Genomic DNA, 17,279 nt, shown 5'->3' with positions numbered 1-17,279 from the left:
GGGATTGTGAAGGAGTAGGTGATTTTTTTAAAAACTGCAATTTTTTTTTTAAGGAGAGGGCTGCAAACCTGTCCATGGGGCTGATTTTTTTTAGTTTTGTTTTTGGTTTTTTTTGGTCATAAACACTCCAAGAACTGAGCACCTGCCAGGCTCTCCTGTTGCCTTGCCATGTGCCCCTATCCCTCCCCTGTGGCAAGAGAGGACCACACTAAGAACCCTGGGGATGGTCCAGCAGACGGTCAGACATCCAGGGGAACAAACCTCCCTGTTTCCATTCTGTGATGTCAAACCCAGCTGCATCACCCCCATCCACCCGCAGGCAGCTTCTGTGTGTTCCGCCCTGCTCCTGCAGGTAGAGCGCTGGGCACCTCAGCTTCTGGGGTATCATCCACTCCAATGGTTGTCCTAATCCAAGATGATCCCTGCACAGAAAATTAGAAGCTGGATTTTTGGAAATCTAGCATTTGCTTGAAAGAGAATGGCTGTTATTTACTGCCACCAGTTAAGGATCATGAAAACATGTCTGCTAACAATGGACTTTGTGTAATTGTTCTAATGCTAATAAGCAACTGCTGGGACACTTCCCGTGGTAAATTCCTTTGTGGTTTCGGTGGTCTTATCACACATGGGCCTCACCAAGATGCTGGGCTGGAGAGAACGCTCACTGTGACTCTCCCAGGCTTCATGAAATTCCCCCGACTTAGAAGCAGTTCTGGGCAAAAACACACTGTTAGAGGAGGATTTGCTTTCTTCACGGTGCTTTCGCAAGTGAGGCCTCAGATCTGCGCTCTTCAAATCCTACATAAAGAGCCCAGAGGTTCTCCCCATGCTCAGCACTGGGCTCGCTTTCCTGCAGAGGAAACGATGGCAGGTAGAGCTTAAGAATGACGTTCTCCCCCAGGTCGGCCGAGAGTGCTGTGCCATGAATTGATAGTGGCAGGACGAGAATAGTAGAGACACGGGTGATTAAACAGTGATGCCAGACAGTGTGGGGACAGCAGCATCTTTCCATTTGAAGGGTCTACATATACCACACAGACCACCTATACCTCAGCTGTCTTCCCACCCTACCCTGCTCTGGGGCTTGACCACGTGGTCTGAGCCTTAGAGTCAGTTCCATGCACTAGGCGCTTGCACAGGCCAACAGCAACCTCTTCCATTGGCTCCAACTTTAGAATACACCCGAAGCCTTGCTTCTCCAAACAGCTCATTGTGAAATAACAGCGCCTCACTAGGTGTCGCTTTACAGCAATGATGTATGACTGAAGGCTACCTCTATCATAAATGTAGCATCCTCAACTACATTCTTTTCAAAGTGTTCTTGGAAACCCATCATCATCCCTTGAGGGTGGATTTTTTTTCTTTTTGGAGAAAGCCAAAGCCACTGGGCTCATGCCTGGTGCATGACATGGGTAATCAGTTTCAGGTTTCAAATCATGTGTTTTCACACACATTCGTTTGTCTTTTCCTTGCGTGTTTCCTTACTTGGTACAAATAGTTTGAACAATAACAGCCACAATTCACTGGTTAACTTAAATATATTAGGCAGGTGTTAGAATAAGGAGCTGCAATGTACGGACTACTTTGAAGGACAACAGTATTTGGATGTATAACGTTCAACATATTCATTTTAAAGTAATGTTACTGCTATATCCTTAGGCACGGTAAGCTGAGGATATTGTGAGTGTTCGCAAATATACAGAGACCACCCTCACATGTAGAACCGTAGAATCCTAGAGTTGGGGAAAAGAGGTCTTGGGGGACATCTGGACGGCTCCCCTCCAGAGTAGAACCTTCTCCCCCGTGGGTTCCACATTGCTCTGTGGGGGGCAGAGCATGGTACGGTGTGCAAGAAACAAGCTCTCCAAGTCACCTCCCCCCATACCTCCATCTCCTTATCTGGAAAAGGAGGGGAGTCATCCACATGACCTTTGAAAGCATTTCCAGCTCAGTTACTTTGGCCAAGGCCAGTGGGGCTGTGCTGCCGTAATGGTTATGGGCTGTTGGCTCATCTCTTTTGTTTCATGGCTGCTGGCTCCTGCCTCTCCTCCTTTGCAACCTCATCTAGATATTTTTTGATCCTCTTCCCTCATGAGCCCAGAACTTCTCAAGGCCATGTAAGCACCACTTGACCATTCTTTCCCACTCGTTTTTTACTTCTCATTCTATTCTTTCTTCCTGCCTCCATGTTTTTTTGCTGGTTTGTTTTCTTTTCTGTCTTTCTTCATTCCACTAGCTCAAATGCCTTGGGGATGGAGACGGGGTAGAGAAAGAAATAAGAATAAGCCAACTCTGTCCTCCCAGGCCCAGCAGTTCTGACCTCTGCCCAGCTGTCACCCACCCACAGCATTCCTTGACTCTGCCCCACTTCCTGTCCAATCTCCACTTGTTCTATTTCTCAAGGTCTAGCCCTCTCAGCTCGATGCCTGAGGTTGGGAATGAGAGTCTCTGCCCTTCTGAATGTTTCATCCTGTGACTCACCCTGATGTACCACCGAGAGGCCTCTTGAATCTTCATCAAGCACAATGCCCTTCTCACTAGCTGTCCCTCTTCATTCAGCCCTGAAGGTTAAGTGACCTGGTGCCAATTCGATGTACCTCTTGAGAATCACAAGCTGCTTCTCCCACCGTCCTGCAACATGCACGGAGTCACTCTGCAATCCAGCAGCAATTCAGATAATGCCAAAGTTCTTTATAGAACACAGAACGTTGTCCAGACCCAGTTAGCACTGACTGTACAGCCTCATGACCAAAGCCGGGCCAGAGCCTTGTGTGTAAGTGAGGAGGGTCCAGCCAGCATGAAAAATGAAGGACAATGAACTACATCGGAAGTATTTCTGGGGTGAGGTATTGTTTTTGGACATTTATAAGACTACTGAGACGTATGCAATATTAAGTGGCTTGTGTCTGAGTAGGGAAAGATGATGACATATTTCCCAAAAGAAAATGTGGTTTAGAGGGAGGAGAAAGGCAGCACAGCTCTGGAAAAAAAATGTTTCCATTCCTGGCCTTTCTACAGCACAATTGCACACCTCGAGGTCTTTCTAGAAGTCAAACATGTTTCCTCCTCAGGAACTGAAAGTATTTCTGTCCAAGTGTGAGAGACTTTGAGGGAGTTTGATTTCTTTTATTATTCATTGTGTTCTAAGCCATAATATTTAATTTTCTGTCATCTTCTAGCTATATCTTTGATCACTTGGGGATTTAAATAGAAGAACTCCTCTCATTTTATCCTCAAGAAAATATGAAATATCATTTGCTTTATAGAGCAAATATTTCCATGTTACAGATATCTGTTGATTAGATTATTTCTCTACTGTATATACCTAGAAGTAATTTCATTAACATAAAAATTTTATACTTTAAATACATTTGTGGATAAATTTGCTTTTCATTCTATTCACATGCAAGAAAACTAAACTGATTGAATAAAATCATTTTATCATAATTGTCTTGCTGCTATTTTTTTTTCACTAACAGTGAAAACTTTGTGTTAATGAAGTATGACTGTAACACCATGAATCTTCTCCCTTCATGGGGCCAAAAGGTGTGTTTTACTAGCTACGCTAGGCTGTCATTATCCAACAAGACTCCTGCTAACAAATGAGGGCCCATGAGTTAGTGAAATCCATGTTCCCTAAGCTTGTGAGGTAGAATGACGATGACCGAAATGTTATGTCTTTGGTTTTGTAAGTTGATGGGCTTATTTTCAGAATCTTTCTTTCAACTCAGCCTTAGTTAATCTCATGTTTCCACCTGTTTATGCTACTTCCGTACCCCATATACCCACTCGGGAGGCTTCCCGATCTCGCCGCATCTGGGAGAGCGGCAGCTGCACCTTTTCCCTGGTAAAACGTCTTACTTTACTCGCACACTGCATGAAACAGCCAGAAACCAAGGGTGCAAATAGGTCATCTCCTTATCCTGGGAAGATAAAAACAGGGTTGACTACCTTCCCTCTTCTCTACTGAGACAGTATTTCCTCCCTTCTAATTAAGGATTTTTAGAGGGGGTGTGCGTGCATGTTCATGTGTATTTCGATTGGGTTTGCAAACTTAAGAGAAAGGTCATTAGTGAAAGTTTGCACATCATTTGCTTGTGCTGAGGCACGTGTGCAAGAAGGACTCGGCGTATGTACTGCAGATATTCTAATTGTATGAAAATTCATTGTGCTTTCATTTCTTATGAACGTAATGGAATCTTGGAACATTAGTTCAACTCCATCTTTTACTTGGAAGTGCTCGGGGAGACAGAAACTTTCAGCTTAGGAAGTGGTGTAATTTTAGGTCCTAGCTTCTTTACAAAACAAAACAAAACCAGTGGATCTAATTTTGCAGACTAGACATTAGTGAATATAGCTCATTGTAATGGTGAGTGGCATTTACATTGGAGAGAGACAGCGGTAAAACCTGTTACCTGAGGAAACAGCCTCTCCTTAATCTTTGCTCTTTGCAAGCATGCTGAAATCAGTGTTTCCTAATACTGGGACAATCCTTTCACCTCAAAGTGTTCCTATGTAATTGTGTTACATAATGGGAAATTGTAATAGGCAATTTGGTTCTGTAATTTAGTTTGCAAAGCATGCAAACATAAGATAACTAGGTTAAATGCAAATTGGCATTACACTAAGGTACCGAGATAGGAAAAAAAATATGCTGTGTCTATAACTTAGAAACAACATGAATTTTATTCCCCATGCGCCTCAAAATGTAGAGTTTATTAAAGTTATTTATCCTCTAGTTTAATTTCATCACATACTGTGCATACAGATACATTATCTGAGTATGAACCCACGTGTATTCTTACTGCATATATTTACAGATCTCTCATTTGTCATAAGCAGGCTGTAAGTGTAGCGTGTTACTTAGGAGTGAGTTGGATGTACTTATTTTTATCATATACAGTGTTTTCATAAATTGACCATTATATATAAGACACTACATCAAAATGTGCTTTGAATCTTTCAAAGCCTGTTATTGTTTGTAACTTTTGCAGGAGGGCTATTAGTTCATTATTTAGAGGTCAATTTTTCTGTTTTTAATGTATTCTCTTAAACAGTGATTGGTATGTACACCACAGTCAGGTATGTACAATTTAATTAAACAACCACTACTGGCCTTAATGATTTTAATAGTTTGAGGTGGTTTTTGTTTGTTTGTTTTCATTTTTGATACAGCTTTTTTTTCTAGTACAGTGCATCATGGGCCTGTGTATGATTCAGTGAGATTTCTAAATCTTAAGATTTCAACACAATGTAGTACTTTCTGTTCATGCTGTAAAAAGTATTTCTGTATTTTAAATAAAGAATAAAATTTATGTGAGCCTGTATATATTTTATCTGATCAACTTTTCTATGTTGATTACTATTTCATTAGGACTGGTTCCCACAGGTAGAGAGCAAGGATAAGCCTTTTCAAGGTGGTCCTTAGACTACTGAAGCCACAAGGGCTGATTCACTGCTGCCTGGAAGGCCCCTGTCACCTGGAGACCTGCTGCACTTCAGGGCAGCCAGCTCAGCTCCCACACTGGCTCAGGAGAGACTTTTTTTTTTTTTTTTTTTTTTTTTGAGACAGGGACTCACTCTGTCGCCCCGGCTGGAGTGCAGTGGTGCAAACACAGCTCCCTGTGGCTTCAACCTCCTGGGCTCAAGGAATCCTTGTGCCTCAGCCTCCCAAGTAGCTAGGACTATAGGTGCACACCACCACGCCTGGCTAAGCTGTGTATTTTTTGTAGAGACAAGGTTTCGCCATGTTGCCCAAGCTGGTCTTGAACTCCTGGTTTCCAGCAATCTGCCCTCCTCAGCTTCCCAGAGTGCTGGGATTACAGGTGCGAGACACTGCACTCGGCCTGGAGAGACTTATTACAGGAGGCCAGGGTTCTCTAAGAAGCTTACTCTGTCCCCCTGACCTTCCTATGACCACAAAGGGGCGGTCTGGTGCAGGGAAGAAATGTGAGATTTGATCAGAGTCCCCAGAGGAGTGTCCACCCAGGGTCATCTTGGGCCAGTCTCTCCTCTAGGGTCTCTGATATGGTTTAGAACTGTGTCCCCACTAAATCTTATGTTGAAATGTAATCCCCAGTGTAGGAGGTAGGCTCTGGTGGGAAGTGTTTGGGTCATGGGGGTGGATCCTTCATGAATGGATTAGCACCATCCCCTTAGCTATGAGTGAGTTCACACAAGATCTGATTGCTTAAAAGTGTGTGGCACCTCCCACCCTCTCTTGCTCCTGCTCCTGCCGTGTGATGTGCAAGCTCCCTCTTTATCTTCTGCCAAGAGTAGAAGCTCCCTGAGGCCTCCCCAGAAGCTGAGCAGATGTCAGCGCCATGCTTCTTGTACAGCCTGCAGAACAGTGAGCAAATTAGACCTGTTTTCTTCATAAATGACCCAGTCTTGGGTATTTCTTTATACCAATGCAAGAATGGTTAACACAGTCTCCTTCTTGGTCAGTAATCAGAGACAAAAGGGCCTCCCTTCTCTGTTAGTGAGAGGATTAAAATAAATTACAGTGCTTGTCAAAGGCCCTCAGACAGTGTCTGCAGAATCTGGAGTCCTACTGCAGGGGAGTCTACTCCTGTCGGTTGGTTGTGGCTCTAGTTTGAGGATCATGATTCCTTCTGGATTTTGATCCAACCCCAACCCTGACCTGCCAATTTCCTACCCAGAGGCCTCTACCCTGTCCTAATGCTTAGCAATGATCATTGGCAAAGGCAACGTGGTTCTCAATGAAAGCAATTCAGGGGGTTAAAGGAGGTAATCCTCCCATATCAGTGTCCTCTATGGCTGGGTGAGGCCAGCAAGGAAGGCCAGACTTAGGGAGTGTTGGGGTGCAGGCCTCCAAAGCCTTCTCTCATCATCTGCCCTTGGTTTGCTTACAACTTAACAGACTAAAAATTTTAATCTTGCTACTTGCCCCGCCTTGAACAAAACGATTTCCAAGCTCATATCCATCCTCTCTCCCCCAGCACGGGTCCACACTGAATGACCTCTCTCATACATCCAAGAAGTCTAAGTCTCTGAGCCAACACAAGAAAATACACCTACAAGTGCCCTCTCTCACCCAGATTTAAGGGTGCCTTCTCTGAGACTGCTCTCCTCCAATATTTAGACACAAGCTCTCAAAACCCAGCTTCTTTTACTAGTTTTTTCTCATTATAGTTGTACAAACAATAGTATCCTACCTATAAATGATCCAGGCAAGGAAGAAATCCTGACATAAATGTTATTTTTTCTGTCAAATCTGAACACCGATTTGGCCACCTGAACACCTGAACACTTTCAGGCCTAGAAAAGAAGGAGAGAAGCGGCTGGGCACGGTGGTTCACGCCTGTGATCCCAGCACTTTGGGAGGCCAAGGCGGGTGGATCATGAGGTCAAGAGATCGAGACCATCCTGGCCAGCATGGTGAAACCCTGTCTTCTACTAAGGATACAAAAATTACCTGGGTGCGGTGGCAGACACCTGTAGTCCCAGCTACTCGGGAGGCTGAGGCAGGAGAATTGCTTGAACCCAGGAGGCATAGGTTGCAGTGAGCTGAGATCGTGCCACTGCACTCCAGCCTGTGGGACAGAGTAAGACTCCATCTCAAAAAAAAAAAAAAAAAGAAAAAAAGAAAAGAAGGAGGGAAGCATCTTGCCTTGGGAAAACAGTCGTGCCGTGTGGATGGTTAGACATCATGAAGAGACGGGATCAGCATGAGGCTCAAAGCTGATGTACAGGTGTGTGCACATGGGAATGTGCCTATGCACGCGCACTGCCCCCCTCACTCCCTGTTTCTCACAAGCCAGAAGACAGACTGGACCGGAAGCCACAAGCCCAGATTTAATCCTGGCTTTCCCACTGACAAGATGAGGGCTTTGGGCAAGTCAGTTCACCTTTCCAGACCCCAGGGAGTTGGACTAGACAAGGTCCATGTTCCGCAGCCCCACCCTGGCCTGCTCTGATAGCCCCTGGGTCTATGACTTAGCTGCAGAACAGGCCGTTTATGACTAGACTCATGACCTTGAGAGTCCTGAGCTGGTGGGACTCACTGGGGCTCTGTGGGGAAGAGAGGAATTACAGGAGATATATAGCTAAGACCAAGATGATCTACCTCAGGGGTCTCTCTCCTGATTATCTAAGTAGTAAAGTATTTCTTAAGACCGGAATGGAGTTGATTTTCTTAGGCAAGTTACGGGAAAAGAAAATTTCCCACATACTATGTGAATCACTGTGAAAGAGATATTGCTCCATTCTAGAAATTTAAAGTGCCATCACATATGTTGAGCATGGCCGGATCCTGCCTTCTGATCTCTGACTAAGAACTTCCATTCATTCTAGTGCTCAATGAACTCACACAGTTTCCCATTACCCCTTTCATTAAAAAATCATTTTTTAAGTAGAATTGCTTTTCTCCTTGAACTCTTCACCAAGGTTGATTCGACATCCATCTAGGAGTGGCTCCTAACTTATTGTTAGCCTATTAGTGGAAGCAATAAAAAATACTGAAAGGTGAAGGTTATTTAAATGAGAAATATCTCTGTAAAATCCCCACAGGGTTGGTGGGATGGAGAAGTGGTTCTGACAGTAGCTCTGTTGCCGGTTTCAGACTATCAGGTTTGGCAACAATGTTTTGTTAGCAGCAGTTAATCAGCGAATCCCGTTACTTAATAAGGTTATCACTCTGAGCAAAAGCTGCAAATTACACGTTCTTTCTCTCCAGGCTGAAGACAACATCCTTAACATTTTACATTTATAAGTAATATCTCGTTAGCAGAAACAGGGTAAACAGAAGCACATGGAATATGTCTTTTGTGTGTAATTCAGGATGATATTTTTATTCAGAAATTTCAAAGTCATGTAAACCTGCCCCCCTGCCAAACTCCTCCATTATTTGGTGCTGGTTTGGACTGTGTATCCTAAAGAGGTAGGAAAACACACCTTTTTTCATCATCAGCTGCAGAAGACACCCTGTCATGGCCACCAAGAGTAAATTCACAGGCTTGTAAAAGCCTAACTCAAGTACTGCCAACCGCAGGTGGCTCTGCTCATCAGCCTTGTCCAGTGATTTAGTGATGGGGGGAGGGCCCTTCTCTGTTAACAAAACCATCTCCATTAACCCCTGTGACTCTCACTTGCCACTTCAGCACGGAATAGTCTATGAATTCTGTCTCCCCACTCTCTCACCCCTCCCTTTTCCACCCCTTGACTCATGCTTGAGTTTGAATTCCATAGCATCAGTGGCCAAATTTCTTCTGTGTGAGTTTATGCATATCCACATATCCCTTTCCCCGTGGGGCCCAGGAACCTCCGAGAAGTCTCAGGTTGTGCTGAACTCATTGGCGTCAGCCTTGACCTCCCAACCAAGATGGCACCATTGTCCCATGTGGCATAATGGTGAGAGTGTCTTGCAGCTGACAGGAAGTGCTGTGGGAGCTCCTTGCTGTCGGTGGAGGCGGGGAGGGGGGAGGGGCAAGGGAAGCTGCTCCCTTGGTGAAAAATACAGGAGAGGAGGTTCTTGGACAAAGGCCTCTGGGAACCAGGAGGGTATGCAAGGGAGGCTTTCTAGACGGCATCACCTCCAGAGGGGCGGGGCTGTGTGTGAGCACATCCCCTGCACTCGCAGCTGCGTGACCCTGCAGACCTGCTCTTCCATCTCCATCGTCTCTCCAGTTCAGCAGTTGTTGCCTTTATTTTTTCTTTTTGGCTCAGAAAGCTGCAGAGGGGAGGAACTTGAGGGTTTTGTCTTTTTTTTTTTCTGGCATGTTTTCTGTGTGCATGTACTGTCTCTACCTCATTCCAGTTGTTGATGACATTTTCCTTCCCGCCCTTTCTCTCCCCTCACCCCACCCCTCCCATGCATTCTCCAGTCCGTAGCATTTTTTAGAGCTGCATATAATTTCCCCAGGGAGAGACTCTGTGTTTTCTGGCTGACTTATTCTTTATATATTCCCAGTCAAACACTTTTCCCCTTTCGGTTGCACCTCTGCATCCTTCCTCCACTTGGCTCTTGAAGCGTTTTTTTCTTGGTGTTTTATTTCCTCCTCTTGCCTCCTCCACTCCCGCCCCCAGTGAGAACATCTCTGTGCATGTCTTACAGCCTTACGTTTTCCACCAAAAAACACATTTCCAAGGGGCCTTAGTGACTTGTGAAAATTCCTTCCAAACCTGTCTCCTGGAAACAGGATGGCAGATGAAAGATTTCTTCATTAAAATTAGACACTTTAAAGAGGCATCCAGTAAAAGCTCTGAAAATCCCAAGTGGGCCTTTGTCTGCATCGTGCTGGTGTAGAAGCTAGCGGGGAGGCCAGGGCTTCGGGGAAGGGCCGGGACAAAGGGCTCCGGGGTTCCATTAACCCATTTGATGACAAAGAATCTCTCCCGCGGGTGGGGAGCTTTGAGCCCGATGGGTTGTGCACTGGCTTTCTACCCCGTAGCTCACACTACCATTGCTGTTTGCAACAGCTCATGTTGAGGTGCCTGGAGGTCCTCATGACCTGCCCTTTTTGGAGAAAGAATATGATTTACGACTTGAAAAGCTGGTCAAGGCTCTGGACCTCATTCCAAGCTGTGATTTCTCATTTGGGCTTCTAATGTTTGATTATGCAGCTGGGCGGTGTCCTCTCTAAAAAGCAGCTTTTGTGACATTAGCTAGCTCCCCGCTAGGGGTTTTAACTGGACCAGCAGAGTGCAATCAGAGCTTGCAGGAAAATCCTGGGCAGGGCCTTAGGAAACTCAGGGCCTGGGAAAGTGGTTTTCCAACTCTGGCTGAAAGTATGAGAGAAGGAAGACCAAGGCCGCATCCTCCTGGGAGCCAGGCCAGGCACTGGGTGCTTCAGGCACAACATCTGACTGATTTCTCGATTACCCTGCACTGTGGGCACCTGACGGGGAAGGTGAGTGCATGAGGATGGCTCAGACATCCCCGAGGGGCTGGCAGGAGCTCCTGTGTGGAGGCCTGGGTGCCTCCATGAGGACAGAGGCTGGGCGTTGAGAGGACCCGATTCTCCTTAGTGTGGTTGATGAGAATCGTGGGAAGACCAACCCCATTTCCACTGGGTTTGGGTCCTCAAAGAAGAGGCCACCATGGCCCCTCCAACCTCAGACTGAGCAATTCCAGGCTCTGCTCCTCCTGACTCGCAGGTGACAGTCCTACCAGACGCTCTCAGGTGTTTCTGCGCTGTCACAGCTGAGAGCCACTGAATGAGAAAGCACACCTGGCCCGATGGCCTTCAAGAATTGCACCCAACAGAGGGAAAGACTGTTCTGAAACCACGTGAGACCTCAGCCTCCCACCCTCACCCATTTTTGGAGGTTTCTGCTGAGTAACTTCACAAACTGGGCCTCTGTTTCCTCATCTGTAAAACAAAGGCATTGAATGAGGCCTGGCTTTTGAAACTGTGTTCTGAGGGGCCCTGAGGGTTGCGGGGACAGACCAGCCCTCAGCCTCCTGCTCCCTCTCATCTAGAACTGCTCCACTTTGATCTACTTCATATGTTGGAGTGTATGATTGTGTTTGAAGAAAGGAATCCACTGTTGTAAAAATTGTCTTGGAAGCCAGTGGTTTCTGGGGGCCCTTTCAGATCTGTTGTTCTGTCCTCCCAATAATCTCATATCACCTGCAGGTGATGAATCATTATCATCATGGTCATCGTCATCATGATCATCACCGGCTAAACTTGTTTTATTATCCAGAGAGTACAGGCAAGATGAGTGTAGAATTACCTAGACACAGCCAGGTGCAGTGGCTCACTCCTGTAATCCCAGCACTTTGGGAGGCTGAGGTGGGCGGATCATGAGGTCAAGAGTTCGAGACCAGCCTGGCCAACATAGTGAAACCCCATCTCTACTAAAAATTAAAAAATTAGCTGGGCGTGATGGCAGGTGCCTGTAGTCCCAGCTACTTGGGAGGCTGTGGCAGGAGAATCGCTTGAATCCGTGAGGTGGAGGTTGCAGTGAGCCGAGACCGCACCACTGCACTCCAGCCTGGGTGACAAAGTGAGACTCCATCTCAAAAAAAAAAACAAAAAAAGAATTATCTGGACACTCCTGCCCTTGTTTCAAACTGGCAGGGCACAGAATAAATATATTATCATTTCCTCTTATTCCCCAGCAAGAGGAAGAACTTTCAAGCTCTGTGCAAAACCCCAAAAAATCTGTTTCTTATTGATCACCTCCACAAAAGGTCTTAAGACTCCCTGAGATGGGTGGGCTATTAGTAGCCCAGACTTGGCCAATTTTACCTTTCACTTTCACTGTTATCCATAGAAAGTAAATTGATTTTACAGGGCAGCCCTCAGAGCCCACAAAGAACTGACTTGTCCCTGAACAATTAAAAAGTATGGGCAGGGCTCAGTGGCTCACGGCTGTAATCCCAGCACTTTGGGAGGCCAAGGCGGGCGGATCACGAGGTCAGGAGATCGAGACCATCCTGGCTAACACGGTGAAACCCTGTCTCTACTAAAAATACAAAAAATTAGCCAGGCGTGGTGGCAGGCACCTGTAGTCCCAGCTACTAGGGAGGCTGAGGCAGGAGAATGGCGTGAACCCAGGAGGCGGAGCTTGCAGTGAGCTGAGATTGCGCCACTGCACTCCAGCCTGGGTGATAGAGCGAGCCTCCGTCTCAAAAAAAAAGTATGGAGGGCAGCCAAAGTAGAAGGAAAATAATGGTGAATGATGGCATTCGTATTCCAGAAAATTGAATATATTTATAAGAGTGAGGAGGTTCCAAATGGTCACTAAAAAGCTGATCACTTTCATTAAGAAACAAGCCCTACCAAGAGAATCCTGAGAGAAGGAACTTTGTAGCCAGGGAGACCAGTGTTCAGACTCTATTTTCTCTTCCAAGCCCCATGACTTTGGGCAAGCGACATCCTCTCTAAGCCTTAGCTTGTTCATCTGAAACATGAACATAATAATCAGTAGTAGCTTTTATAAGTGAGAATGGAAGAAGATAATAGACATAAGCCCCCAACCGTTTCTTCCTTTCTCCAACTCCCAGTGTCACAGAGGACTCACCAGTTCCAGGAGTCTGGGCCAGTGAGACAAACAGAATGCTCTCTATCCTGTGATTAGAGACTAGATAAGTTCCCAGGAAAGGTGAAAGAAGTCACCAGGAAAGGGCTAGGCAGGGTGATATGGTTTGGCTGTGTCCCTACCCAAATCTCATCTTGAATTGTAGCTCCCACAATTCCCATGTGTTGTGGGAGGGACCCAGTTGTAGGTAATTGAATCATGGGGGTGGGTCTTTCCCATGGTGTTCTCATGATAGTGAATAAGTCTCACGAGATCTGATGGCTTTATAAAGAAGAGTTCCCCTGCACAAGCTCTGTCTTTTTGCCTGCCACCATCCATGTAAGACATGACTTGCTCCTCCTTGCCTTCCATCATGATTGTGAGGCCTCCCCAGCCATGTGGAACTGTGAGTCCATTAAACCTCTTTCCTTTATAAATTTTCCTGTCTCGGGTATGTCTTTATCAGCAGTGTGAAAACAAATTCACACACAAGGCTTCCCTTTCTGGATCAAGATTCAGGCCAGCTTTCCCTTCTGAACTGGTCCTCACTTGGTTACTCAGTTAACCTGCTGCCCAGATTCACACATCTAAGAGGAAGTAGAGTAGGCTAGGCCACCCTCCAGCCTACTGCACATGGGACTGGATAGGACAAGGAGAGGAAAGAAAGACAAGATGTCTTTCATTGAGACTACCTTACTCCTGTAGTGAGGTGTATGGGGTGCACAGCTTAGAGTTGAGCCCAGTCTTAAGAAATTGGAGTCACTGGGACAAAGATAATATTTTAGTAGCTCTTATAACTTTTCTTTTATAATCCTCTTGCTATGATCTGCCTCATCCACAGGATCCTGCAGTAGTCAGTTCCCAGTAATGAATGCAGCAGGAAGGCCAAACATGGGGATTTGGGAGCCAGACTACAAGAATTTGATGCCTGACCCTGTCATTTCCTAGCTGCGAGTCTTTGGACAAGTTATTCCACATCTTTGCATCCTCATTTGTAGAACAGGGGTGCTAGTAGTAGGCCTATCTCATAGGATTGTTCTAAGCATTTAATGAGTTCATGCATGTCTAATATCTGTCATAGCATAATCACTTGTATTAGTCATGATAAGTAAAGCAAGCTACCATAACAAACAACCCAAAATATCAGCAGCTTAACATAATACTTGTGTTTCATTTATACCAAAGCCCAATGTGGGTCCAAGTGTTCTCCTTGAAGAAGATACCATGGCAGTTGCCATGGGAGGAAAAGAGAGAAAAGAAGGATTGCTCAGAGGGAACTATACCAAGCCTGCAAACTGCATACATCACTCTACCTGCATTGACCTGAACCCAATCTAATTACAAGGGAAGCTGAAAAATATAATTGTCTTCCTGGGTATGCAGGCAGAAAAAAAAACGGGATTGGTGAGCATCTAGTCATCTCTACCACTGTACATATGAAGTTTAGCTGATAATAGTGCTGTTATGGTTATTATCTATAGGAATGAGCATGGAGGGTGGGGTAAATTAATGCACAGGCAAACCTAAACTTCAGAGGAGGAAACTCAAGGTTAAGCAAAGGATACATTCTCCATCTTCACTTCCTTCACCTTTTGCCTGACCAGCCCTCTTGGGAGCAGGTGGGCCGACTGCTTTGAACCTCACCTCCGCTGGACACTCCTACTTACCTTCTGGCAGAGGAGCTCCTGGCTATCAAGCAATCTAAAAGGCAGTTGGCAGAGTGACCAGAGAGAAACCTGGAGACTAGATTATTTAAACGAGTCGATCACTTCCCAAATCAGTGACCATTAGCTTCACTGATGACCTGCATAATGTTCAGCTCTGCAACTGGTGATCACAGATGGGGAAGGGGGTCAAACCTAGGGAGTTACATGGATCCTGATGACAGTCAGATGGTTAGAAGTCCCTTTGCCATTCTTTTTCCAACTTGATGCCAATGCTGGTTTCCCAAAACACCTCCAGCATGTATGCATGCCTTAGGTATCTGCAGAAAACCTATCCAGAAGACAAAAATGTGATCAGGCCTCTGCTTTAGTCAAGAATGGACTCTCACAGGCCCACTCCTCTGTCTAGGTGGACCTCTTTTACTTCTTTGAGAGACTCAGGATATAAGCCTCTGAAAAGCTACTGAGACCCCAAGAACAAAAATGGACAGAGATTTTATTTTGGCCACCTGAAGAAAGCCATGGATAAAACACCTTCTCAGCAGGCAGATATACCTGTATATGCCATGTGCAGTAGCAGTGGACTTGCCCACCTTTTACTGCAGACTACCATTGTATCTAAATTTCAAGCAAACTATTAGGCTCAACATCCTTGTTAGAATATCGAATCCTAAGGCACAGATGTGGGACCCATGTCAATGAAGTCTTTTATAGCCAACCTTATGGTCCACCTTCCTCTGTCCATCCTCCCAAAATCCACTTTCACATGTGCTTCTGTTGTTTCTGCCAACAGACTAACCAGGTCTTGCAATGCCTTGGCATGCAGCACTTCCATCCTGAGGCAGGGACTATAGTTCCTCATTTGGCTATGCTGAGAACTGACCCTAGCTAATGGCCTAGAGGCAACGGCGATTGGGAGTGTGGGTGAGGCAGATCTTGAAGAGTACATACACCATCTTGTGAGGCTTCAGAGGAAGTCTTTACATCATCTCCAAGCAAAGGGAAGCTGTTTTCCTGTATTAAATAAGAGAGGCCTGCTTCTGCTGGCTTGGAGAATTATGGAGGATTGGTGGCTAGAGATTCTTAGGCATTTCCAACATACTGTCCCTATCCCTAGTCTCAGGGTACCACTCTTTCACCTTTAGAACTGTGAATTTGACATAGGAGACCCAACCATGCAAATTCAGTATGCTTTGCAGCTCTGCTACTATTATTATCAGATCCTGGGCCTGATTTTCAGCAGTTTGTTCTACAGATGCAGAAGTTAGGGGCTCCCATAGAGGCTCTCTGGCTTTCCCAGAATGCTGTAAGTTAGCAATAAGCTGTTTTGAATTTTTTTGTCAAGTATTCCAATGTCATCAAAAGCAGCTTGTACCTACTACAATCCTTATAATTAGGATCACCACATTCCACCAGTCAAGAGCCATAGTCAATACATAGTCCAGTGGTCCCCAAATTTGCTGCATATAAGAATCACCTGGAGATTTTTTAAAAAGTACTTACTGTCACCTGGCCTTCACCCATAGACACTTTGATTTAATTAGTTTGGGATGAAACCTAGGCAAGGGGATTTTTTTTAAAGCTCTCCCCATGATTTTAATGTACAGCAATTTAGAAACTATTGGCATCTCCGAATGCCTCATCTTCTACTTGTACTTCATCACAATTAACTACAGGCAAAAGCCTGGTGATAGTGATGCCAACGCACATCAGGGGTTGTTACCAGTCCACTTGCCACCAGCAATGGGGGCCCTCCACCTTTAGACTAGTGGGCAATTCAACTCCAAATCCCATCTTGAAGGTCTGCTTTCTAAGGCCACTCTTAAAACTATCTTTTTCCAGGTTCCCTAGAAAACAGAGACTGAGCAAATCCTATATGCTAAGGCTTTTGGGGGGAATGAAATTCTAGGAAAGCAGAAGTGAAGAAAAAAGATAAACAGAGAAAGAGAGTTAGCAAATATAAAGTGCATTACTGGTTGGGTGTGGTGGCTCACATCTGCAATCCCAGCACTTTGGGAGGCTGAGGCGGGCAGATCACTTGAGGCCAGGAGTTTGAGACCAGCCCGGCCAACATGGAGAAACCCCGTTTCTACTAAAAATACAAAAATTAGCTGGGTGTGGTGGCACACGCCTGTAATCCCAGCTACTTGGGAGGCTGAGGCATGAGAATCACTTGAACCCAGGAGGCAGAGGTTGCAGTGAGTCAAGATTGTACCACTGCACTCCAGCCTAGGAGACAGAGCGAGACCCTGTCTCAAAAAAAATAAATAAAGTGCATTACCAAGCTGGCCACAGCTTAATGAGAAACTGATTCAGTCCTGCAGGATGTCTTCAGAGAGACCATATGGGACTACCCACTCTCAAATAGTACCTCTCAGGAGAGGCAGACAGAAGGATTTTCCTCTAATTCCCATCTCCAACTGGTCATAGTTTGCTAGTTGCCATTCCTGGATTTGTGTGTGTATGAATACCAGATGGATCCCATAGTATCTTGAATCTCCATAGTAAAAGGAAAGTCCCATGCCAGCAAATGAGAGGCAAGAGATCTATGGCACAGGAATTGAGGAGAGGCATTGCATCAGTTGTCTATTGCTGTGGAACAAACCACTCCCAAAACTCAACGGC

The sequence above is a fragment of the Homo sapiens genome, chromosome 6 (assembly GCF_000001405.40).
Source record: "Homo sapiens chromosome 6, GRCh38.p14 Primary Assembly".
NCBI classification, from domain to species: Eukaryota; Metazoa; Chordata; class Mammalia; order Primates; family Hominidae; genus Homo; species Homo sapiens.
Note: the sequence above shows the minus strand (reverse complement) of the source record.